At 46.5% G+C, this 26,255-nt stretch overlaps 1 protein-coding gene across 2 annotated transcripts in view, besides 2 other annotated features; it reads right to left on the reverse strand.

Moving 5' to 3' along the window:
- ZNF496 (zinc finger protein 496) overlaps nucleotides 1-26,255 on the reverse strand; it is a 34,453-nt gene that overhangs the window by 7,187 nt on the left and 1,011 nt on the right. The window contains exons 3-10 of one of the 2 annotated variants that reach the window (NM_001329733.2): nucleotides 25,365-25,480; nucleotides 24,588-25,014; nucleotides 24,082-24,265; nucleotides 18,553-18,629; nucleotides 5,723-5,855; nucleotides 5,098-5,205; nucleotides 3,874-3,987; nucleotides 2,101-3,426 (exon numbers count right to left, since the gene is read on the reverse strand). In NM_001329733.2, coding sequence (NP_001316662.1) covers nucleotides 3,272-3,426; nucleotides 3,874-3,987; nucleotides 5,098-5,205; nucleotides 5,723-5,855; nucleotides 18,553-18,629; nucleotides 24,082-24,265; nucleotides 24,588-24,977 — 1,161 coding nt within the window. In that variant the 5' untranslated portion in view covers nucleotides 24,978-25,014; nucleotides 25,365-25,480 and the 3' untranslated portion in view covers nucleotides 2,101-3,271. Of the gene's footprint in view, nucleotides 1-2,100; nucleotides 3,427-3,873; nucleotides 3,988-5,097; nucleotides 5,206-5,722; nucleotides 5,856-18,552; nucleotides 18,630-24,081; nucleotides 24,266-24,587; nucleotides 25,015-25,364; nucleotides 25,481-26,255 lie in introns of those variants that run through there. The other variant, NM_032752.3, reaches the window with a different exon arrangement.
- Nucleotides 18,032-18,536: an enhancer, noted in NCBI's record as "NANOG hESC enhancer chr1:247485935-247486439 (GRCh37/hg19 assembly coordinates)". NCBI's record gives its function as "activates a minimal SCP1, AML or CMV promoter by ChIP-STARR-seq in primed H9 embryonic stem cells {active_cell/tissue: H9 hESC(primed)}" and the evidence as "EXISTENCE:reporter gene assay evidence [ECO:0000049][PMID:30033119]".
- Nucleotides 24,257-24,759: an enhancer, noted in NCBI's record as "H3K4me1 hESC enhancer chr1:247492160-247492662 (GRCh37/hg19 assembly coordinates)". NCBI's record gives its function as "activates a minimal SCP1, AML or CMV promoter by ChIP-STARR-seq in primed H9 embryonic stem cells {active_cell/tissue: H9 hESC(primed)}" and the evidence as "EXISTENCE:reporter gene assay evidence [ECO:0000049][PMID:30033119]".

Consider the following 26,255-nt stretch of genomic DNA (forward strand, 5'->3'; position numbering starts at 1 on the left):
CCTCAGGTGATCCGCCTGCCTCGGCCTCCCAAAGTGCTGGGATTATAGGCACGAGCCACACCACACCTAGCCCTGACCTGCTAGATTTAAGACTTGCTTGGGACCCATTACCCTTTCTTCTCTTGGATTTCTCTATTTTGGAATGAGAATGGTCTATGCTATGCTTTTCTCACAGTTGTATTTTGGAAGCAAAAAACATCTGGTTTCACAGTTCATAGCTGGAGAGGGTTTTGCCTCAGGATGAATCATACTTCAAGTCTAACCCATACCTGATTTGAGATGTTGATATTTAGATGAGATTTTGGACTTACAGTTGATGCTGAAACAGGTTGAGAATTTGGGGGCTGTTGGGATGAGGTGAATGGATTGTGCATGTGGGAAAGACATGAATTTTGAAGGTCCTGAGGGTGAGGTCTTACAGGGGATGAATTGTGTTGTCCCAAAATTTCATGTTGAAGTCCTAACCCTAAGGACCTCAGAATGTGACTGTATTTGAAGATAGGCTCTTTCAAGATGTAATTAAGTGAACATGACGACATATGGGTGGGTGGGCTCCCACATATGGTGGGAGGCCGAGGCAGGAAAATTGCTGGAACACGGGAGGCAGAGGTTGCAGTAAGCCAAGATCGCGCCACTGTTCTCTAACCTGGGTGACAGAGCTAGACTCCGTCTGAAAAAAAAGAAAAGAGCTATTGGTCTAACTGCCAGTATATGCATTAAACCATTTAATCCTTAGCAATAACTGTACAAGGCAGCTTTAACTATTATTTCTGTTTTCCAAATAAAAAATGTAAGGCAGAAAAGTGAAATTGCCCAAGGTTTCAGGGGAATTGAGCCAGTGGAGATGGGACCAGGGCTCGTGGCCACATAGCTAGCAGGCAGCCAGGCTGCTGCAAGTGCTTGTTGCAGGCGGAGTGGCAAAGGCATGCAGCGTGCAGGTAACTCCATGACTATCGCCTCAGGAAGGATGCTCTGGCCAGGAATGAATGACTTCCTGCGAGCTGAGGGGATTAAGGGGAACAGCAGGGGAGACTAGGAAGCTGGATGTGAAAAACCAAAATGATAAAGGCATTATTAAAAACTGTAAAATATTCTTGTAAAGTTAGAATGGGGAAGCTTTCTCAAGCAAGGCATAAAACCAAAAAGATGACGAATAAGTGTACCTACAGTTAAAAACTGTAAGAAAACATTTAAGCCAGGCATGATGGCACACGCCTGTAGTCTCCCCAGCTATTTGGGAAGCCAAAGCAGAAAGGCTGCTTGAGCCCAAGACTTCAAGACCAGTCTAGGCAACATAAAGAGACCCCATCTTTAAAAAACAAAACAAAACAAAACAAAACATTTATATGCTGCAAGACACATAAACAAAGTTGAGGGAAATGGAAGAAACTATGTATGAATACAGCAGAGGCAAGGGATTCAGACCCAAAACTACAACGACACGTGGGTTCAGGTAAGAATCAGAGACTTGGATTTGGTATTTAGAAGAACCTATGAAAGATGGCAGTTTCTATGAATCCACAGAAAAAGCAAACCGTGGTTTGGTAATGTAGAGTAAAAGCCATGGGTCTGAAGCCTGACAGCCTGAGTTCAAATCTTTTTTTTTTTTTTTAAGATGGAGTCTTGCTCCGTGTCCCAGGCTGGAGCGCAGTGGCGTGATCTTGGCTCACTGCAACCTCTACCTCCTGAGTTCAAGCAATTCTCTCTGCCTCAGCCTCCCAAGCAGCTGGGATTATAGGTGCCCACCACCACGCCTGGTTAATTTTTATATTTTTTAGTGGAGATGGGGTTTCGCCATATTGGCCAGGCTGGTCTTGAACTCCTGACCTCAGCGATCTGCCTGCCTCAGCCTCTCAATGTGCTGGGATTACAGGCGTGAGCCACTGCACCTGGCCGTTTTTTTTTTCTTTTTCTTTTTTTTTTTGGAGACAGACTCTCGCTCTGTTGTCCAGACTGGAGTGCAGTGTCATGATTTCTGCAGCCTTGACCTCCCAGGTTCAAGCGATTCTCCTGCCTGAGCCTCCCCAGTAGCTGAGACTACAGGTGTCTGCCACTGTGCCTGGCTAATTTTTGTATTTTTAGTAGAGACAGGTTTCGCCATGTTGGCCAGGCTGGTCTTGAACTCCTAACCTCAGGCGATCTGCCCGCCTCGGCCTCCCAAAGTGCTGAGATTACAGGCATGAACCACTGCGCCCAGCCTGAGTTCAAATCTTCACTCCACCACCTACAGCTTGTGAGCACTGGACTCTGGGCAAGTGACTTCAGCTCTCGGGTGCCCCAGCTGCAATACAGAGACATCATGCCACCTATCTCAGAAGGTGCCATGAAGATACAATGCACAGAATCATGTCATCATGTAAATCACTGAATCCTGGTGCAATGTTTAGGACATAAAGAAAACAAGTATGAGTGCAAAAATAAATAAATAAGGATAAATGAATACTAACTAGGCAATTCATAGAACACAATAAACAAGAAAAGATATTCCACCTCAGTGGCGGATGTAGTAGCATTATTTGATTGGCACAAACTGAACATCTGGGAGTGTCCTGCGTGGGCATGGATATAGAGAAGCAGACCTTATCACCAGCTATCCGGCATCAGCTGGCGGGAAAAGCCTTTTAGGAAGGCAAGCTGGCAGGAGCTACCAAAATAAGTACAGTGCCCACTCTTTGAAATATATCGTCTCTCCCCTTTCTCAGTAGCAACCCTTGGCTTCTGGCTGTTTCAGAGCAGTCTGTGTCAGAGTCCAGCAAGGGAAGAATGGAGTTGAAAACTCCTGTGTATAAATGAACATCCATCCATCTTCTAAAAGTATATTGATGGGGCTGAGAGACATGCTATGGGCAGAAAGAAGCTAGAGAAGATTCAAAGTGCACCACAAACATCAGGCCTGCGCTTGAACTCCAAGTGGACCCCAAATGAATGCATCACTCTTGGCACGCAGAGGTGGGCTTCTTAGAAAACCAGGGGTGGGCATCCATGCTTGTGGAGCAGGATCTCATCCTTTCAGATCTCCCACACTAGAAAAGCCCCTTTGTCCATGCATGAAAGGGGGCCAAGTACAAGATGCATGGAGCTGGGTCAAAATGGCATAAATCTTGCCTTCAAAAGCATCACAGGTAGAAGAGATAATATGTGTGAGTTGGTCTCCATAGCTGCAGAAAACTACAATGACACGTGGGTTCAGGTAAGAATCAGAGGCTTGGGTTTTGTATTGAGAAGAGAAAGATGGCAGTATTGTAGCCTCTGCTTCTGGAAGTGGTGACTTTTACCAAGACGACTCAGAGTCTACACTGTGGCTATTTCTCTGAAAGCAGGAATGGAACATACACTTTCCAAGAGTCCTGTGCAGCTTCAGTATGCCAGAAACCTGCTCTTTAATCCCAGTTCCAAGATTCTGTGCCAGGATGCTGGCCATCCATGCTGAGAGAAGAAAAACACTCACTGCATCACCAACAGCACTACAGCAGCACCCTGCTTTGACACACCCTCCCCGGCCCCTGGGAAAGGCAAGGAGGGTGAGCCTGGGATTGGGAGTGAGCTGGAGAATGACCCCAGCACAACGGAATCAGGGCAAGCAGCTAAGAACACCACAGCAGAGGTCGGCGGGGATCCTGAGGGGTTCAGTTCCTAACTGTCCCATGCCATCACCACCGCACATTTACATCACACACCCACATGCCCCCAACACACAGGTGCACCCATGAATGCACACACTCACACATGCAGCACACCACATATACCACATGTGTATGCACGCACACATGCATTCAACACAACCATCCCCTATGCCACACATGCATACATACATTCATGCGACACACCACAGACACACAGGGACAAACCCATACCTCCCTGACCCTTCTTTACCTGGGTAGGTGTTTTGAGGCACCACCGTCTGTGGGCAGGCCTGGAACTCTGGCACCTGCAGCTCCTCACGTTTCCTTCTTTCTTCTACCTGGAATGGCTGGAGACTTGGAGAGTCTTTCCAGAGGAGGAAATGGAAAAATTGATTTGTTTTGCACCTACAGCACTACCTGGGAGGGTGCTATCCGAATAGATGCCAGGCTACGATCTGGGGGCGGCCCTGGGCTCCGTCCTGGGGACTGGCAGGGGGTGGCCACTCAATAAGTGTCTGCTGAGTGAATGAACCTGAAGGCAAAATGGGCCAACTCCACAAACATGAGCTCTGACGCTAGACAGAATCGACGTAGATCCGGGTTCTACTCCACCCACTCTATGGCCAGAGACAAGCACTTCCCCCAGCCCCATATTTATTCCCACTTTCTGTGGTGGGTTTTCTATAGTCATCACCACAGGCTCCTGCACACTCCGCACATCCTGCACAAACAGCTTGTGCAGAGCCTACAGGGTAGAGATGGTACAGGAGCTACTGCACCACACCAAGTCTCTGAACGCTTGTTCCAGGTGGGGATGGTGTGTCAAAACCTTGTCTGCTTCATGCCAGCTCTAGGTCCCAAAGGGGAAGAAGGTGTGGAGCTGCTGATGATTCTGTACAAAGCTATTTCCTCCTGAAGGAGCAGATGCTTCGAAGCACCATGGCATGGAGATCATGGGTGCAAGTGCTGGCGACACAGCCTGAAGGAGGGCTGGAAACTGCTGCTGCTGAGCCCCAGCACCTCCCCACACCCCAGTGTCCTCACAGCACCCCTGTACCAGGCAGATGGGAAGACTAGACAGGTGAGGCACCTCAAAGGGCTGCGCTCGGTGCCCAGTTAGGAGACACTCCCTCTGCAACTAGGCTTGTCATGAGTATCTGACTTCACTCCTGGAGGGGCTGCTGCATTGTCAGCACAAACCAGATGTTACTTACAGGCAGAGGAGAAAGACATTCCTATTATTTCCCAGTCCTTGGCCAAGGGAGTACAATTCCAATGCCTGGCAAAATTAAGATCCTCCATTCTTTCTATGAAAAGTCAGGGACAAGGCAAGACATGCAAGACCCACATAGAGTCTGGGGAAATGAAGAAGGCAATTAGGGGCCGCAGAGAGAAGCCAGAGAGTGGGCTCACCTCCGGCTGCCAGCAACCCTTCCCCCTACTCTGTCCACTCAGTTCTGGAATCATTACTCACCCAAGTAGGAGACCTGGGGCACTTCTTTGCCCTGGAGATCCTGCAACTCTGGAACGCGTGGCTCATTCTCCTCTCCCTGGGAGAGATCTGGCTGGGCAGCTAGGTCGTCTGTTCAAAGAAAAAGGCAGGGTACATGTTTATTAGTAATCTGATCCTGCAGCAACCAGGGCTGGTCCAGAAGAGAGAAGGCGGAGGGATGCCCAGCGGGCATGGCACCATCAGGGGCGAGAAGTGAAAAGGCCAGAGCTGGCAGTGCAGGGGCAGTGGGGGCAGCACACGCAGGGAGAGCTATGGGCTTGGGGGTCTCTCTGAGGCTTTCGGGTGTAAAGCAGACATAAAGGGACAAAACGGTAAGAACGATGGAAGAGAAATGGACATACAGCACATGTTCTATTTGGTTCTGATAAGCCTGATGTGGCGAGACAGCAGGTGATGGTCAATCGGACACACTGCCTGTAGGGCCGCTGTGTGCAAATGACCTCCTGTCCAGGTTGGGGGTGAACAGAGAGATCTGATGCAGGCCCCGCTTCCCTGATCCTATGGGACGAAGTTGACTCTTACTCCAAGTGAGAACTCCCCTGCCCAGTTCCCTGGTCTTGAGGTGTGGGGGGAAGTTAAGTCTTACTTGGAGGCATTGAGACCCCGTAATCCTCCCCAATGATGAACTCTCCATAGAAGCCAGTCTGGGCAGGATCTAGAAGGGACCAATCCTCTTCAGAGAAGCATAAAATCATGTCCTTGAATGGAGAAACCCGACTCTGAAAGCACAGGAGAACAGGGATGCCTCAGTCCGGGACGAGCTAGGTGTCTCAGTCTTAGTCCACTGAGGCTGTGACAACACAACGCTGTAGGACGGGCAGTTTCTATACAACAGAAATCTGTTCCTCACAGTTCTGGAGGCTGGACGTCCAAGATCAAGGTGCCAGCAGGCTGGGTGCCTGGTGAGGGCCCACTTCTTGGTCAAAAGACAGGTGTCTTCTGTGTCCTTACATGATGGAGAGGGCAAGGGAGTTCTCTGGGGCCTCTTTTAGGAGGGACTAATCCCACTCATGAGGACTTTGCCCTTGTTACCAGATCATCTCCCCAAAAGTCTCCACTTCCTAATACCATCATCTTGGGGATTACAATTTCAACACAAATTTTGGGGAGATATAAACACTGAAACCATAGCATTCTGCCCCTGGTTCCCCCAAATTCATATCCTTTTCACATGCCAAACAAATTCATTCTATCCCAATAACCCTCAAAGTCTTAATTCATTCCAGCATCAACTCAAAAGTCCGGAGTCCAACATCTCATTTAAATATCATCTAAATCAGTTACGGTTGAAACTCAAGGCACAATTCTACCTGACACAAAATTCTCTCCAGCTGTGAACCTGTGAAATGAAACAAGTTATGTGCCTTCCAAATAGTGGTGAGGCCGGCGCAGTGGCTCACACCTGTAATCCCAGCACCTTGGGAGGCCGAGGCAGGCAGATTACCTGAGGTCAGGAGTTTGAGACCAGCCTGGCCAATACGGTTAAACCTCATCTCTACCAAAAATACAAAAAGCAGCCAGGCGTGGTGGTGAGCACCTATAATCCCAGCTACTTGGGAGGCTGAGGCAGGAGAATCATTTGAACCCGGCAGGCGGAGTCTGCAGTGAGCTGAGATCATGCCACTGCACTCCACCCTGGGCAACAGGGTGAGACTCAGTCTTAAAAAAAAAAAAACAAAACACACACACAGAGACACACACACACACACACACACACACACACACATATATAGTGGTGAGACGGGCACAGGATAAACATTCCAGTTCCAAAAAAGGGAAACAGAAAAAAAGAAAAGGAGTAACAGGTCCCCAGCAAGTCCTGAACCTATGGGTCACAGCACATTATGGTTTACGGCTTGAGAATAATCTGCAGAATAATCCTTTTTGTCTTGATGCTGTGCTCCCCAGGCCCACTGTGTTGGGAGGTGACCCCGCCTTCCAAACCCACAGGTGGCAGCTTCACTGGGCAGGAGTTGAGTCCCCAAGGCCCTGGGTGGTCCCGCCCCATGGCAGCCCCTGGTGAGGGCCTGCCCTTGAGGTGGTTCTCTGCAGTGGCCCCACCTCTGTGGCAGCTCTGTCTCTTTCAGAAGCCCAAGGCTCTCTTGGGCTGGAACTTCGCTGATGGCCCCACCATCTAGGGCTTCAGGGGTGACTGAAGCGGGGCTCTCTGCTGTGGTCCCCTGCTTGCTGCGGGTCTTGCGCTCTGGGCCTGTGATGGGCAGAAGAGCCCTGATGATTTCTGAATTGCCTTTGGGGTCATTTTTCCATTTTCTTGGACTAGCTCCTAGCCTCAGTTTCAATGGCAAAACCTTTATCTTCTCTCCTAAACAGGCTGGCTCACTCTTACCAACATAGGCTGACAAATATTCCCGATCTTTAAGTTCTGCTTCCCTTTTAAGTAACAATCCCATCTTTAAATCACTTCTCTCTTTTCACATTTCACAAGCTGCACCTTCAAAACCTTGCTTAGATATTTCTGCAGCCAAATATCCAATTGCAGTGGCCCGTAAGTTCTACCTTCCACAAAACACTAATACATAAGCACAGTTCAGCCAAGTGATTTGCCACTATAAGAAGGATGGCCTTTCCTCCATTGCCCACCACACGTTTCTCATTTCCATCTGGGACCTCATAAGAATAGCTTTACTGTTCACATTTTTACCAACATTCTGGTTGAGGATTTCAAATCTCCTCTTTTCTTTTGGAGCCTCACTAGAAATCACCCGTAATAGTCTGTTCATGGGCTGGGCACGGTGGCTCACACTTGTAATCCCAGCACTCTGGGAGGCTGAGGCTGGCAGATCACCTGAGGTCAGGAGTTCCAGACCAGCCTAGCTAGCCAAAATAGCAAAACCCTGTCTCTACTAAAAATACAAAAATTAGCCAGGTGTGGTGGTGCACATCTGTAATCTCCGCTACTCAGGAGGCTGAGGTTGCAGTGAGCAGAGATCGCACCACTGCACTCCTGCCTGGGTGACAGAGCAGGACTCCATCTCAAAAAAAAAAAAAAAAGAAAAAGAAAAAGAAAAAATTGTCTGTTCATGGCAACACAGGCTTTTTCTAGCCTGCACTTCAAAACTCTTCTAGCCTCTACCCATTACCCGGTTCCCAAGCTTCTTCCACGTTGTATTTGTTAGAGTAGCACCCAAAATGTTCGGTGCCAATTTTCTGTCTTAATCCATTTGGGCTGCTCTAACAAAATACCGCAGACTGGGGACTCATAAACAACATAAATGTATGTCTTACAGTTCTGGAGGCTAGGAAGTCCCCAGCTGATACCAGCATAGTTGGGTTCTGGTGAGGGCCCAGTTCCTTGCTCCATAGATGGTCATCATTTCATTGTGTTCTCACATGGTGGAAGGGGCAAGGCTGCTCTCTGAGGCCTCTTTTAGAAGGGCACTAATCCATTTATGATGGATTTGCCCTTATAACCTGATCATCTCCCCAGTGCCCCACCTCTTAATGCCAGCAGCTTGGGGGCTAGCATTTCAACATGTCAAAGCTGTGGGGAGGGGAACACAAAAACATTCAGACCATAGCACTAGGGGAGGGGGGTGGTGTGGAAGCTGGGGCTGAGGGAAGAGCCCAAAGCAACACATGCAGATAGAAGAGACAGAAAGGAGACCGACTACCCCAGGTCCAGGCGCCAGTGGACACACTGCTTTGTTATTTCTGCTCTTGGATCCACCTCATCCCTATCTTGTTTGGCAAAATCCACATGGCAGCTACCTGGCTGGGTGGCCAAGGATGTGGAGAAACAGGTCTTCCTCCTCAGTGCTGGGGAGGCTGCACATCCACCACTCCTATGGTGCGCTGCTGGGCAATGTCCAGAGGTCACCAGCGTGCTCGCCCCTCAATGCAGAGATTCCTAAAGTTTATGTTGTTGCACGTTACCAACATGCCCACCCTTCCGTGCAGGGATTTCTCAAGTTTATGTTGCACATGTGCAACGTAGTCTACAAAAGCTGCTTCACTGAAGCATTGATCTAATAAATACTGAAAACCTTGACACACATCAAGAAGACAGCGGATTAAGTAAGCTACAGAAACCTCACAAGGGATGATCCTACACGCACAGAAAGAATGACGGCCTCTCTGTACTGAGAAGGAATTCTCTTCAAAGTGTGTTGTTGCAGGAAAACACCTGTGCATGATGGAATCCGGATGGCCACCAAGTGCAGGGCGTCTAGGAGTTCCGAAGGTTAGCTGCTTCTCAAGAGGTTCCTGGGACTCTGGGGTTAGGTGTAACAGGGAGATTTTTTTCATAAACTTTGAATCATGGACCATGGGAATGTGTCAAAAACCTGATTTTAATTTCTATTTTTATCTTTATATTGTTTTAGACAGGGTCTCACTCTGTCACCCCGGCTGGAGTGCAGTGGCACAACCACAGCTCACTGCAGCCTCAACCTTTGGGGCTCAAGCAATCCTCCTGCTCAGCCTCCCAAGTAGCTGGGACTACAGGAGTGAGCCACCACGCCTGGCTAATTTTTTATTTTTGTAAAGATGAGGTCTTGCTATGTTACTCAAGCTGGTCTCAAATGCTTGGGCTCAAGCAGTTCTCCCACCTCAGCCTCCCATAGGGCTGGGATTACCAGTATGAGCCATGGTGCCTGGCCTAATTTTCATTACTTAATCCACTGTCTTGTTGATGTGTGTCAAGGTTTTCAGTATTTATTAGATCAATGCTTCATTTTAAAATTTTCATTTTAAAATTTCAATTTAAAATGATGGTATATCCATATAATACTAGGAAACCAGGAAAATAAAGCAGTCCTTTATATAATTGGAAAGGACCACAAAATAAAATTTTTGTGGAAAAAAGAAAAGTAACTCAAAGGACTTTTATATTACTAGTATCTATGTGACAAGCAAAAAAGGAACAGAATAATTTTTAAAACATGCTTTGCATCTGCCTACCTCTCTGGAAAACTATCAGTTACTGTCAGATGGTTTCCCCGGGTGTTGGGGCCAGGCACCCAGGACACGGCTGGGAAGGAGTGATTTTCTTTCTTTCTCTTTTTTTTGAGATCGGTTTTTGCTCTGTCGCCCAGGCTGAAGTTCAGTGGTGCAATCTTGGCTCACGGCAACCGCTGCTTCCCAGGTTCAAATGATTTTTGGGCCTCAGCCCCCTAAGTAGCTGGGACTCTAGGCATTCACTACCATGACCAGCTACTTTTTTTTTGGTATTTTTAGTAGAGATGGAGTTTCACCATGTTGCCAGGCCGGTCTTGAGCTCCTGAGCTCAAGTGATTCAACCACCTTGGCCTCCCAAAGTGGTAGGATTATGGGTGTGAGCCACCAAGCCCAGCCTTGACTAGTCTTTTTTTTTTTTTTTTTTTTTTAAAAAAAGCAAAAATATAGAGGGCAGAGGGCACTTAAAGGAATCATGTTGGTGAAAAGTAAAAGATGTTAATATAAAAAAAAAACACCTATGGAATAATTATGCGTCAATTGTACATATGTATCCCAGTGATCACAGCTGACGTGACCCATGCAGGACACCCCACCTTCAATGCCTCCAGATGTGCTGCATGGGGAGTGCACAGCCCAGTGTGGTTCTCCTGCAAAATGCGTGGCCTGAGTGCCACTGTGAGTCTAACCCCACCTGAGGGAAGGAAGCTGTATCACCTATCACGATATTCCACTCTTCAAAACTAGCCACAGCATGACAAACATTGAGAACCCAAGGAGGAAGTGTTAAGAGATGGGACAACTAAATAAGAAGCAACGATGCTGGATCATTATTGTTTTAATGTGAAATTTCCTCAATGTGATAACTGTATTGTGGTTAAGAGATTGTCCTTGTGTTTAGGAAATACGCTCCTTTGGCATGAATAAGGGGGCACAAACGTCTGCATCTAACTGAAGATTTGGGGAAAAATAGAATGAGGGGGTGGGAGTGGGTAAGGAAGAGAGAGGGAGAACGGGGAAAGTGAAGGAAAGGGTATTTGGAAGTCTCTGTACTGTTCTTGCCATCTTCCCTAACTTTAAAATTAATTCCAAAGAAAAAGTTTAAAATAAAAAGAAAGAGAATACCTCAAAAATTCTAAATTTGAGTCAGGGTTTTGGAACAAGGACTCTTGCCTGTACATATGAATCACAGGCATCTTAGTAAAAACTCTGACTCAGTAGGTCGGGGTGGAGCCTCAGAGGCTGTATCTGAATGAGCCCCTAAGTGGATCTGCTGCTCGGAAGAGGTCAGTGTGGAAAAGCCTGTCTTCCCAGGCTGTTCCACAGAATCCAAAACAGGCCTCGGGAAGCCACTGGATTTCATTACAAGGACCTGTGGGAGTCAACTTGATGTTGGTTTCTTAAATGGGGAAAAAATGGTAATTGCCCCAGTGACAAAAAATACAAAAGAATTCATCACTCTGACACGACTTCCTGGGAGAGGGGTGTGTGTGTGTGTGTGTGTGTGTGTGTGTGTGTGTGCACGACTTCCTGGGAGGGGTGTGTGTGTGTGCGCGCGCGTGCGCGTGTGTGTGTGTGTGTGTGTGAGCGCGCGCAGTGGGGGTCCCGAGGGAAAAACTGAGAGTATATATTAACAACAGATTTGGATGCTTTTTCCTTTGAGCCTTGGTTAGGTGTTTGAGGATCTACTTGCTATACTTTGAATGTGGCCCTCAAATTTCAGGTGCTGGAAACTTGATCCCCCATGTGGCAGTATTGAAAGGTGTGGCCTTTACGAGGTGATGAATAGGTTGTCATGGGAGTGGAACTGGTGGCTTTGTAAGCAGAGGAAGAGAGACCGGAGCAAGCGCGTCAGGACACTCAGCCCCTCGCCATGTGACGCCCTGCACCCACCTCGGGACACCACAGAGCCCCCACCAGCACGAACGCTCTCACCAGATGGAGCCCCTCAACCCGAATCTTCTCAGCCTCCATAAATATGAGAAGTCAATTATTTTTTTTATAAATTACAGTTTCAGGTATTCTGTTACAAGTGACAGAAAACTGACTAGACAGTCAAGGCATCACAGAAGCAAACCCAAGTCCAAGGGCCAGGTGGGTGGACAGACAGTGCTCCAGTCACCTCCAGAATCTGACACGGCCACTTAGCAGGATCCCCAGGGAGCTTTTAGAACCATATGGACCAATGCTTACATGCTGGGGAGGAGCATAAAAACAGGACATTGATCTACAGCGGGATCCTTTTATTTGTGATCGATTTATTTGTGAGGCACACAAATAAATTGGCAGAGAAAAGTCCAGAAGGAAGTTCACTAGACCATGCAGAATCTTCTCACATGACTGGGGATGAGTGGTATCTTTTCACTTCCTACATTTTGTTAATTTTTCACGAGAAGGGATGGGCAAGATAGATAAACATGTCTATTTAAGATTAAATCTTCAGAGGAGATTTTTCTAATGCTTCCCAACTAAGTAGAATGAAAACCCTGGACATTGCATATAAAATGAGCACAGGAGACTCTGAAAGGTGGAGAGAGGGTGGCAGAATGGCCAGGGACCTTGGAACAGTATGTGCTAAGTTCACTGGTTTTTCTTTCTACCACATATTCCCCTGACTTGAAGCCGAAGGAGCCAGCTACCAAGAAATACCCATGGGCACAGACCAAAAAAAGCTCCAACAAAAGCCACAGGACCTGGACAGGGGCAGCCCAGCCAAACAGGTAATAACTGCTCTACTCCACTTAATACCACATAAGAAAACTGTGGCCCCTTCTTACCAACACCAGCAGAGAATGACTGGGGAGCCTAGACTTCCACCCTCACCAGGTGCAATGAGGTGCCCTAACACCCCTGCTGGGGTGGTCTCAGAGAAGGCCAAATGCGGAGCTGGGACCTCCATCCCTGCTAGCTAAGAACAAGCCCCCCCCCCGCCACCAGTGGAGACCATGTAGGGAGCTGGAACTCCACTCCCACTCGGGTGTATGAGGAGCATCCCCACTTTGATGCCCGCGGAGATCCAGGAGGAAACCTGACGTTCTCTCACCAGGTAATAACAAGTGGTGGCCCACCTGCCCTTCTCTTGCTGGAGCTATGTCAAAAACAACACTGCACAACCAAACAAAACCAGCCACACCGAAGTTAAGGTCCAGAGTCTCATCATATAAAAATATGCAGGCAGAAAATCACTCACTATACCAAGATCTGAAACTGAATGAATAAAGATAACCACCAACAGATGCCAACCCTCAGGTGACAGATACGTTAGAACTATCTGACAAAGAAGCTGTCATAAAATGCTTCAATGAACAATTATAAGCACACTCCAAACAAACGAAAAAATAGAAAGTGTCTGTAAAGACACAGAAAGTCTCAGCAAAGAAACTGAAGATACAGAAAATAACTAACTGGAAATGTGAACAGTACAAACCACAATATGAAATAAGAAGCTCAGTGAATAGGCTCAGCTGAGGAGGGGACAGAAGAAAGACTCAGTCAACTTGAAGACGGAAAAATAAAGTTATTCCATCTGAACAACAGAGAGAATACAGGCTGAAAAAAAATGAACAGTCTCAGGTACCTTTATAAATTACACAGTTTCTAACAAGAGATCTAAAACCTGTATCCTTAGCAGTCTGGAGAGGAGAAAGAGAGAGGGACTAAAAAAGTACTAGAAAAATCTAGCTTAAGAATTCCCAAGCTTGGAAAGAGACATAAACCTAGAAATGTAAGAAGCTGAGCAAACTCTAAACAGGTTAATCTAAAGAAATCCATAACAAGACACAGCATAATTTAACTTCTGAAAACTGAAGGCAAAGGAAGAAAAAAATCTTAAAGGTAGCCAGAGTAAAATAATACCTTCCTTACAGGGAAAAAGTTTTTGAATGACAGCAGATTTCTCATCAAAAGCCATGGAGGCCAGAAGGAAGTAACATAATATTTTTCAAGTGCTGAAAGAAAACTGTCAAGTGTGAATCTTTCATCTGGTGAAAACATCCTTCAGGAATGATGGGGAAATGAAGACCTACTAAGATGAGGAAAAAATATGTAAGTCTATCACCAGCAGATCTATCTTAAAAGAATGGCTAAAGAAACACTCTAAACAAAAAGCAGGAACCTTGGAACATAAGAAGAAAGAAAACAGTAAGCCACAATATGGGTAATAAATAGGTTTTCTTTTTCCTTTTGAGTTTTCTGAATAATGTTTGACAGTTGAAGCACAAATTACAACACTCTATGATGCGGTTCTAAATGTATGTAGAGGAAATATTTAAACAACTGCATTATAATGGGGAAGAAGGATGAGGGTATGTAAAAGGAGGTATATTATATTTCTTTCTTTTTCTTTTCTGATGGGGTCTCACTCTGTCACCCAGGCTGGAGTGCAGTGATGCAATCACAGCTTACTATGCAGCCTCAACCCCCTGGGCTCAGGCAATCCTTCTGCCTCAGCTTCCCAAGTAGCTGGCACTATAGGAGCACACCACCATTCCCAGCTAATTTTTTTAGAATTATTATTTGTAGAGACAAGGTTTCGCTATGTTGCCCAGGCTGGTCTCAAACTCCTGGGCTCAAGCAATCCTCCCACCTTGGCCTCTCAAAGTGCTGGGATTATAGGCACAAGCCACGGTGCCCGAACAAAGGAAATAAGCTTCTACACTTCACTCAAACTGATAAAATGATACTCAGTAGATAAGTTATGTATATATAATGTAATACTTAGAATAACCACTAAAAAAGCTATACAAAAATATACATACACTCAACACCACACTAGGTAAATCGAAATGGAATTCTACATGTTCAAGTAACACACAGAAAAATAGGAAAAAGGAAACAGAGAAACAGAAACAGAGCCAGAAAAACAGAAAGACAAACTTAAGCCCTAACATGTCGGTAATGACATTAAATACAAATGGTCTACATACATCAATCAAAACACAGTAACTGGCAGAGTAGATTAGAAAACATTATCCAAATATATACTATCTAGGCCGGGTGCAGTGGCTCACACCGGTAATCCCAGCACTTTTGGAGGACGAAGCAGGTGGATCACGTGAGGTCAGAAGTTCAAGACCAGCCTGGCCAACATGGTGAAACCCTGTCTCTACTAAAAATACAAAAATGAGCCGGGCCTGGTGGTGCGCGCCTGTAGTCTCAGCTACTCGGGAAGCTGAGGCAAGAGAACTGCTTGAACCCAGGAGATGGGGGCTCCAGTGAGCTGAGATCGCGCCACTGCACTCCAGCCTGGGTGACAGAGTGAGACTCCGCCTCAAACAAAATAAAACAACACATATATACTATCTAAAAGTAACTTACTTCAGATATAATAATATAAGCAGGTTGACTGTAAAAGGATGGAATAAATATATTATGCAATTATTAATCAAAAGAAAGAAGAAAAGCTATATTAACATCAGATAAGAGTACTTTCTTACAAAACTTACCAACTTTTGTACTTACCAACGATTGCATACCTGGGCATTTATCCCAGAGAAATGAAGACTGATGTGTATATAAAAACCTGCACACAAATATTTACAGCAGCTTTATACAATAATGACCCCAAAACAACCCGGATAGTCCTCAACCAGTGAATGGTTAAACGAACTGTTGGACTTCCATGTGATGGAATACTACTCAGCAACGAAAAGCAATGGAATAGTAACACGCAACAACCTGAATGAAGCTCCATAGAATTACGCTGAATGAAAACAGCCAATCCCCAAAGGTTACATATTATATGAATCCATTTATATAACATTCTTGAAATGAAATGACATCACAGAGCTGAAAAACAGATCAGTGGTTGCCAGAGGCTGAAGAGAGGGTGAGGGTAGGAAAGAAATGAGTGTGGACATTAGGTAACAGGAGGTATCCTTCTGGTGAAGCACCTGTTCTCTATCTTGCATGTATCATTGTCAATACCCTGGGTGTGACATTGTACTATATTTATAGAATATAGATTTTTACTCTATATTTTACTATTGAGGGTTTAAAAAGTTCACAGGATCTCTCTGTGTTATTTCTTACAATGGCATGTGAATCTACAATTACGTAAAAATGAGAAGATTCATTTAAAAAGAAAAACAAAACTTCACGTGTACCATGTTCATAGCAGCATTATTCACAAAAGCCAAAATGTGGAAGCAATGTAAATGTCCATCGACAGATGAATGGATAAACAAGGTGATATATACACACATGGGAGTATTATTCAACCTTAAAAAGGAAGGGAATTCATGGCCAGGCATGGTGGCTCACGCCTGTAATCCCAGCACTTTGGGAGGCCGAGGCAGGTGGATCACGAGGTCAAGAGTTCGAGTTCAAGAGCCTGACTAACATGGTGAAACCCCGTCTCTACTAAGAATACAAAAATTAGCCAAGCGTGGTTGCGGGTGCCTGTAATCCCAGCTACTCGGGAGGCTGAGGCAGGAGAATTGCTTGAACCCGGGATGCGGAGGTTGCGATGAGCCGAGATCGAGCCACTACACTTCAGCCTGGGCGACAGAGCAAGACTCCATCTCGGGGGAAAAAAAAACACGGAAGGGAATTCCGACACATACTGCAACATAGATGAACCTTGAGGACATTATGCTGAATGAAATAAGCCAGTCACAAAAAGGCAAATAGTGCATAATTCCAATTATATGAGGTATTTATAGTCAAATTAATAGGGACTAAAAGTAGCATGGAGGTTGCCAGGGGCTAAGGGAAAGGGTAAATGAGGAGTTATTATTTAACGTATAGAGAATTTCAGTTTGGGAAGATGAAAAAGTTCTACAGATTGGGTGTACAACAATGTAAATATACTTAACACCACTGAACCGCACACTTAAAGACAGTTAAGATGGAAAATTTTACGCTATGTGTATATTACCACAATTAAAAACAGAAATTAAAAAACACTTATAAACAACATCTTCATGATGGTGACTTTTAGTGCACTGGGAAGAAACTATCACTGGGAAGAAACTATCAGAGTAATACAACAGTACTGACTTATCAAAATCTCTGTACTGTGCTCGCTATGGCATTTACTAGGGACTGCAGGAATTGAAAGATGAAGACCAAACCTCATTAGGTACTGGATTAACAGCATCCCCTTATGTGTTATACTGGTTAAATGTCCAAATTTTAATAAGAAATACTGGTTTTACCTCCTTTGTGTTTGGAAATGGTCACAGTACACAGCAGATGCTGACATGTATGTGTTGAGCATCAGGGTAAACAGGCGTGTGCCACATTTCTGGTGGGGCAAAAGCAAGTTATGGAGATGCCCCCTAACTGGGTAACCTGGCTAACTCCTTCCCATCCCTAGCCCTCCCTTCTCCAAGTTTAAAGTCATGTTGGCTGGGCACAGTGGCTCATGCCTGTAATCCCAGCACTTTGGGAGGCTGAGACAGGAGGATCACTTGAGGTCAGGAGTTTGAGACCAGCCTGGGCAACATGGCGAGACCCTGTCTCTACAAGGAAATACAAAACTTAGCTGGGTGTAGTGGCATGCACCTGTAGTCCCAGCTGCTCAGGAGACCGAGGTGGGAGGATGGCTTGAGCTCAGGAGTTTGAGGCTGCAGTGAACTACGACTGTGCCACTGCATTGAAGCCTGGGTGACAAGGCAAGACCCTGTCTCTAAAAATAAAAATAAAATAAAGTCATGTCAAATGAACTGTGCAGAAAGCAAACTGCTCAGCTTCCGACATTCTGCTGAGACATGGTAATAAGAGTGTCTACTGTTTTTCACAGTTTTCTGTTGGGTAAGGAGCAACTAAACAAAAGCAGGAGCCACACATCCTGTTCCCATGGGAGGGGATGATGCTGTCATAACTAAATCTTGTGCCAGCCAGTGGAAAGTGTTAGGAGGGAAAGTGAAGGAGATATGGCCAGAAAACATGGCCAAAGACAGCAACTGGGCTAGAGAGAGGCGAGTAAGATCACCTGCTGGACCAGCCCCCAGCCCTGACTCTGACTCCTCAGAGCACCCGAGTAAGCAAGTCTTACACAAAAACACGAACGAGAACATTCGAGGAAATTCTGGAATGACTCACCACGTAGATCTGTGACAGGACTGAAATTATCTGTGCTTTCTTCCCTCCACTTCCTAACATTTCTAAAATATAACCATTGCTGCGATGATTATTAAATTGAAAAATTCTCTGTAAAATAAAAGAGCAGAGAGATCTCCTTTTTCACAAGAGGGGAACTTAGACATGCTGAGAGGCCCATCAATGGGGACTCATGGGCCTTTGTTTCCTGCTATCGTCTGCACAAAGCTTCCTGAAGGTGGCCTGATGACAGTAGACCCAGTGGGCGGCTGGGACCACAGGGAAGGAGGAGAAATGGGGCGTCTCTTAAGCTCACGCTCTGCCTATTTTAGCTTTTCTGGGCTGGGACTGAACATCCTGTGTGGCAGTCAGAAAGCTGGCTGGGGTCCTAAGAAAGCTGCCCTGTAGCCTACAGAGGCAAACAGGGGATTTTCAAGGACTCCTGTAGAAACCACTCACCGGGGGTAGCTGGAGGGTGGTCACCTGCTGTGTGTCCCGCACATTCTCTTCCTGAAGAAGGAAAGCATCTTGCAGAACTGAAAGAGATCAGAAAATGGTGTCCTAAAGTGGGCCAGGGCCAGGCCTGGTGCTGATACCTTCTGAGCTTCCTGCGGCTCTTCATTTCCATTTTGGTAGCAAAGAAAATCACAAGAGAGGCACCAACAGGGAACTGTTTCATGGTGCTTTTCATAAAACCCCAGTCTCTGTTCTTAACTGTAAAATGAGGATTACAAAATGACGCACATGAAAAGTACTCTGTAAACCACAAAGATTGCTGCGACTTTGTTTCCAGATATAACAAGGGGGGCTGTAACAGAGTGTGCCTGGGTTCATGATAGCACGGTCAATTAAATGAACTCTTTCACCTCGGGTAGGTCCCCGGACCTCAGCATTGTTATCCAAACTATGGGAAAATAAAGGTTAAAACTCTATGGAGTTCAGCCGTGTGTGGTGGTACATGCCTGTAATCTCAGCTATTCTTATTTTGGGGACTGAGGTGGGAGAATCACTTGAGCCCAGGAGTTCCAGACCAGCAGGGACAACACAGAGTATTTGTTTCTTAAAAAGAAAAAGAAAAAAAAAAAGAAGAAGAAAAAGAAAAAGCCGTAGAGTTGAGGAATCTATAAGGACTCTTAGGGTCTGGATGTGGTGGCTCATGCCTGTAATCCTAGCTCTTTGGGAAGCCAAAGTGGGAGGATTGCTTAAGCTCAGGAGTTCAAGACCAGTCTGGGCAACATAGGGAGACCGCATCTCTATTAAAAATAAAAAAACTGGGAAGCTGAAACAGAAGGATTGCTTGAGCCTGAGAGATGGAGGCTGCAGTGAGCCACAGCTGCACCACTGCACTCCAGCCTGGGTGACAGAACATGGCTCTGTCTCAAATGAAAAAAAAAAAAAAAAAAAGTAAGGGCTGTTGGCAATCAGAATTACTGTGGAACTCCATAAAAAAAGAAGGAAAATCCTGTCATTTTTGACGACATGAATGAACCTGAAAGACATGCTACGAGCAATAAGCCAGACACAAAAAGAAATACTGCATGTTCTCACTTAAATGTGGACTCTAAAAAAGTTGAACTCATAGAAGCAGAGATCAGAATGCTGGTTACCAGAGGCTAGGGAATGAGGGGACTGGGGAGACATTGGTCAAAGTGTACAAAATTTCAGTGACATGAGAGGAGTAAACTCAGGAGTCCTATTGCACAACATGGTGACTATAGGCAGTAACAACGTACTGTGTACTTGAAAATTGCTAAGAGGGTAGATCTGAAGTATTTTCACCACACACAGAAAAAGGATAGGTATATGAGGTAATGCATTATATTAATTAGCTTGACTTTTTTTTTTTTTAAGAGACTGGTCTCACTAGGTTGCCTAGGCTGGAACAGAACTCCTGAGCTCAAGGGATCCTCCCACCTCAGCCTCCTGAGTAGCTGGGACTACAGGTGTGCCACCATGCCCAGCTAAGTAGCTTGGTTTAATCATTTCACAATGTGTATAGATATCAAAACATTACACTGTACACTGTAAATACATACAATTTTTTTTTGTCAATTTGAAGACAGAAATTAAACAAAAAAGAAAAACTGTTACCACTGTAGGTACTCCTGAAAGAGCATTTGACACAGTGTCCTAAAGACCCTCATACAAAATGTAAAGTGTGGCTTTGGGACCATCTCACCAGCCTTATTTTGGGCTACCAGGGACTCTGCCACTCTTCTCTCCTGGAATTGGAAACTACCCTTTGTTCAGGCTTCTGCCATGAGCCACATCCCCTGCCAACAGTGCAGCCATGTAAAAATGAGCTCTGTTTCAAAAGGTACTCCTTTCTCAGATTAAGACTTGGAGAGCTGTGCTATAGTCTACTGGTTAACCCCAGGTCACATGTTAAGTCATTATCAAAGCAAACCCCAGAGGCCAGTGTCCCTGGCCTTTCAGACCTGGAATACAAAGCCTGCAGGAAACAGCAGCTGCAGGAGTGGCTATGTGGAACAAAGGACGGGGCCAGGAGCCCACACAGATGGCAGTGCCATTCTAGGGGTCTCAGTGGAAGGCAGCCTCTTCACTGTGTCTGAAGGGGAAGCTCAGGCTGGATGGGCGTAGATTTGAGGAGGTGGTATTTTTCTGTGTGTATGTTCCATTTTAAGTTTCTATCTTCATCTTTATTTAACTTACTTTTACCTCCCAGTTTTATTAAGCTATAATTGACAAAAATTGTATGTATTTTGTATACGAAAACTGTACAATGTGATAACTATACATTGTGAAATGATTAAATTAAGCTAATTAACAAATCTATACCTCATATATTTTTGTGACGAGAACATTTCTTATTTACTTTCTTAGCAATTTTCAAGTATAAGATGCATTATTTTTCATCAACCTCACCATGCTGTACCATAGATCTCCAGAATTTATTCATCTTACCTAACGGAAACTTTGTACTCTTTGACCGATGTCTCCCAGAGGGGGTGTTTTATTTTTTAGAGGTGGGTTCTCGCTATGTTGCCCAGGCTGGTCTCAAACTCCTGGCCTCAAGCAATCCTCCTGCTTCAGCCCCCTGAGTAGCTGGAACTATAGGCATGAGCCACCATGCCTGGCTAGGAGGTGGTGTTTTAGTTCTGCTTCCTCACACCTGCCACCTTCTGGGATATGTAGCTATCCCAGATATTCATATATATATGAATGGAGATGCCCCCTAACTGGGTAACCTGGCTAACTCCTTCCCATCCCTAGCCCTCCCTTCTCCAAGTTTAAAATCATGTTGGCCGGGCACAGTGGCTCACGCCTGTAATCCCAACACTTTGGGAGGCTGAGACATATGTATATATATATATACACACGCATATATATATATACACACACACACACATATATACACACACACACACATATATACACACACATATATATACACACACATATATATACATACATATATATATATACACACATATATATATATATATATGAATATGTAGTCCCACCCTACTTTTGGCCCCGATAAATGAATACATGGACCCTTTCAAGAATCACTTCGGAGAGTTGCAGACCCTACACAAAATCTAGCTTTTGGGGAAGATCTTCAAGATGAGGAACTATACAGCTCTGATAGGTAGTGCATTCCAATGATGAACTGTCCCAATAGTTAAGGTTTTCCTGATTGCTAACTCTCATCATACCTACTTTGCCTATTGATTATTGCTCATGGAAATGGGAGAGCTGGCCCTGTTTTCCTAAAGCCCATCTGTGGTTGCTGGCTTATCTCAGAACTTTATCAAGAAGCAACTGCACAGGCTACTGTAGTTCCTGAAACTTCTTCCTCTCCACCTGCATGCCTTCCCAGACCCCACTACAAGGCCTCTCACAGCCCCCCACTTCCTGCATAACCCAAGCTACTTGCACGTGCATTATGTGGGCGACTGGCTGCTTCCCTTATACCTGTTGTTACAGGCTAAGTTATGGCCCTCTCAAATTCCTATGTTGAAGCCCTAACCCTTAGGTACCTCAGAATGCGACTGAGTATTTGGAGATAGGGTCTTTAAAGAGGTCATTAAGATAAAATCAGGTCATATGGGTGGGCCCTAATCCAATAGGACTGGTGTACTTATAAGAAGAGGAGATTAAGACACAGACACACACAAAGGAAAGACCACATAAAGAGACCCAGAGAGAGAAGGTGTCTGTTACACCTGCTCTGCAAACTTCTCTTAGTGTAAACATCTTCCTCTTCCTTTCCCTGAAAGAAAACCGCCCGTCATCAAGAGTCCTGGCACAAAGCTTGTTGTCAGCTTTCAGGGCCGGATATTCATGGGTTTTTACGGGTCCCAAAGAGAGCCAGTGGCATAAGAGACTTCCCCTCCTAGCTCCTTTTTTTTTGTTTTGTTTTGAGATGGAGTTTTACTGTTTTTACCCAGGCTGGAATGCAATGGCGTGATCTCAGCTCACTGCAATCTCCGCCTCCCAGGTTCAAGTGATTCTCCTGCCTCAGCCTCCCGAAAAGCTGGAATTATAGGCACCCACCACCACACACAACTAATTTTGTATTTTTAGTAGCGATGGGGTTTCACCATCTTGGCCAGGCTGGTCTCGAACTCCTGACCTCAGGTGATCCGCCCGCCTTGGCCTCCCAAAGTGCTGGGATTACAGGCGTGAGCCACCGCGCCCAACCCCTAGCTCCTTCTAAATGTCTATCTGCAAACTTCTCTTAGTGTTAACATTAGGCATGTCTACAAGCCAAGGAGAGAGGCTTCAGAAGAACCCAAGGCTGCTGATACATTGACTTCAGACTTCCAGCCTCCTGAACTGTGAGAGAATACATTTCTGTTACATAAGGCATCCAGTCTGTGGTACTTTGTTATGGCAGCCAACAACACACCAAACTTGATTTATAAGCAAGAAAAGGCTGAAGAGTTTATGTGATTTGTACAGAAGTCAATATAGTTTTTCCACACACAGAAATTTAATAGGCATTTTGGTTTTATTACTGAAAAGCTTATCATAATGCCAAACACAACTTCTGCAAGTCATAAGAAAGTCTCCCCTGGCCCCCCAGACACTCTCTTTCCATTGTACCTATAGAGCACTATGGCAAGTCCACCCAGAGTCATAAGAAAGCCCCCCTGGCCCCCCAGACACTCTCTTTCCACTGTACATATAAAGCACCGTGGCAAGTCCACCCAGAGGAACCCACGGGCCAGACTTCCTTCAACCCAAGGGCGCTGGTTTCCCATGATATGTACTTAAAGTTTTGGGCACCTCAGGCCTTGTGTTCAACCTTTTGTAGGTTGTATCTCATTTAATTGTCCAAAAACCCCAAAAAAGGTAATTACTATCTCTGCTGGACAGAGGAAGAAACTGAGGCTTTCAGAGTTTAGAAACATGCCTCAGGTCATAACCAGAAGATTCAAATCTAAGTTTATCTGATGAAAAAACTACTTTCCTGTAGCTACCATGTACTTCATATACATACTCAAACTATGTGTAGCTGATGTTCTGGCCCCACACACTAGACACCACCCTGTGTCCTCCTAAGTATTTCTACATCTCTTCGCAGCATCACAATACTCCTGTAAACAGGAGTTGTTTAGCCAAGGAAACAGAGGTTCCAAGAGACAAGAAATGGCCATGCTCCAGTCATGCAGCAGGCCCCAGCTGTACACTGGCAGTCCCCAGCTGTCATCAAACTGACAAATCCTGCAGAGATGCACCCTCGAAGAGATGAGAGGGCACCACCTCAGTGACACCCACCTACAGAAGCGTTAGCTCTGAGAGGCTCTAGAACCATGAAGAGGACAAACATCCTGATGAGGTTCTCATTTAATTGCTCTAGGAAGGGACTCAGACCCTGACAACAGCTCACAGCACCTCGGGGACACGAGAACACTGCTGATGTAAAAGCCATCAGCTTAACAAAAACCACACCCAGTGCACAGTATGGGGTGTGCACTTCCCCAGATCACCCCTGCTACACTCCCCTGGGCTGCATACCTGGGTCCCCGCTGAGCTGGCTTGGTGGTCTGCTTGGGAGCCCCAGGCACTGTGCCAGGGTTATGGGCTGGGCATCCTGGTTCTTTGCAAGGTCGCTGTGGGGCTCTACCGGCAGCTGCTCCTGCTCCTGGTCCAGAGGGCTGTCCCCATCATCAATCACCACAGGGTCTTCACAGTGCTTGAGCTGCAATCCCAGAGACAGCTTTTCAGGGCTAGGGGAAGAGGTCCCATCTCTCCCTGGGCCTGGTGACCATCCACTCCACAGCTGACCATCAAAGGCTCAACTTAGGCCTTGGACTGGGCTGTAAAGGGGCACGACACTATCATGCCCAAATTAGAGCCTTCAGGGAGTAAAACTGGCTTTCTTAGGAAACTCTAGTCTGGACCTAACCAAAGTAAATGGCTCTCGATGGAACTCCTCATTCCCCAGCCAGCACATGCATGGCCCAGCCAAAGTGTCTAAGTACCAGATCTCTACCCGTCCCAGCCCCACCTCTTCTACTCACCCACTGCCAGGGTCTCCCGGGCTCCCGTTCCAGTGCCTCCACCGCGGCCACAGCCTGCTCTCCGCTCTCAGGCTCCTGCGCCCGCACCCAGCTCTGGATCTCCCGGGGCAGGATGGCCAGGAACTGCTCCAGCACCAGCAGCTCCAGAATCTGCTCCTTGGTGTGCCTCTCAGGCCGCAGCCAGCCCCCGCACAGGTCCCAGAGGCGCTGCAGGGCCTCCCGGGGGCCCGCCGCCTCCTGGTAGCGGAAACGGCGGAAGAGACGCCGAGAGGACTCGGGGCTGGGAAGCTCCCCCTGGGGGCTAGGGTTCTCTCCAGGTGGGCTCCTCATTTTCCTGGGCTCCTCACTTTCCTTCGGAGCCAAGACTCGGGGGCACAGGGCTGTGGGCATGATGGGATTTGATGGGGGTCAGCAGCAGAAGACGACCCTATTTCCAAACAGAAATCACTGGCTTCAGTGTTCTGGTCTCCTGTGGTCATTTCTGGGGGACAGTGACAAGGAAACTGTCAATGCCCTCAGAGACCAGCCCTTTGGAGAAGCCCTGGGAAAGGTAGGGAGTGTTGGTGTGGCTGGTCTTTACACACAGGATGAAACAGACAGAAAGATGCCCTCCCCCCATCAGTACCATTACGTGTGGATTCCCGTTAAGTGGGTGACTGGATGAACAAGACAGGAAATCTGGGAGAAAGTGGTGGCATTTCAACGTGACACTGCTGTTTTGAGCATCCCAGGAAACCAACAGCGCCACATGCAGATGTAATCAAGACGCTCTGGTACCTTGGGTGGCTGGGTCCTCCTGGAGAGATCCGAGATGGGCAGGCCAAGCAGGCCACTATCTTGAAGCTCCGGAGCCGAAGTCACTGTTCTTGTTATTAAGACCTTTACAAATGGAGCTGGAATGACAAAGACATGCATCGGATGAGCCTTCAAGCACATCCAGGAATGGAAAATCCACCCTTCTGGTGGCAGAGGGCTGATGGTGCTGCGTGCTGGATGGACAACCCAGCCAGAATCAGCTTTGCCCAGCAGAGTCTGCAATGGGAGGCAAGGGAAAACATCACATGAGACAGCTACATGCAGTCTACCAGGGACAAATAACACTGCATCTAGAAGTATCAGTGGTTTCCTATGAGCCTTCTGCCAATTCTGCCCTGACCTTCAACCTCGCCTCCACCCTATTCTCTATCCTTGCCCTCTTCAAACCACATTGAAGGCAACTGCACACTCGCCAAAGCCCTTCCTCGGCCAGGACAGAAAAGTGGGTCCGTCACTGCACAGCTCAGCCCTCAAAGAACCCCTGGACACTGCAGCTGCCACACCCCCAAGGTGGGACTCAGGGGTCCCTACACCTCCCCGCTGGTGTGCAGACAACTAGCCGACACTTTTGCCACAACTAGGGTGGCAAGAGACCAGCAACCAGTATACCTGGTGTTTATGATTCCCACTTTAGAACGCTGGGCCCGTGAAAGGGCACATGGGGACACTCACAGTCCCCTTCTCTGCCATCAGGCCTCTGTGATCCTTAGGACCGGCAGTGCCTGCCACTCCCCCATCTGCACGAGGTTGTCCAGCGTGGCCGCGTCTTAACCTCCAACAGCTCACAAGGTGGGAAGGGGGACTCGGGCCTCACTCCCATTTCACAGAAAGACAAGTGATGCCAGAAAAGCT

This window comes from Homo sapiens, chromosome 1, assembly GCF_000001405.40.
Source record: "Homo sapiens chromosome 1, GRCh38.p14 Primary Assembly".
Lineage (NCBI taxonomy): Eukaryota > Metazoa > Chordata > Mammalia > Primates > Hominidae > Homo > Homo sapiens.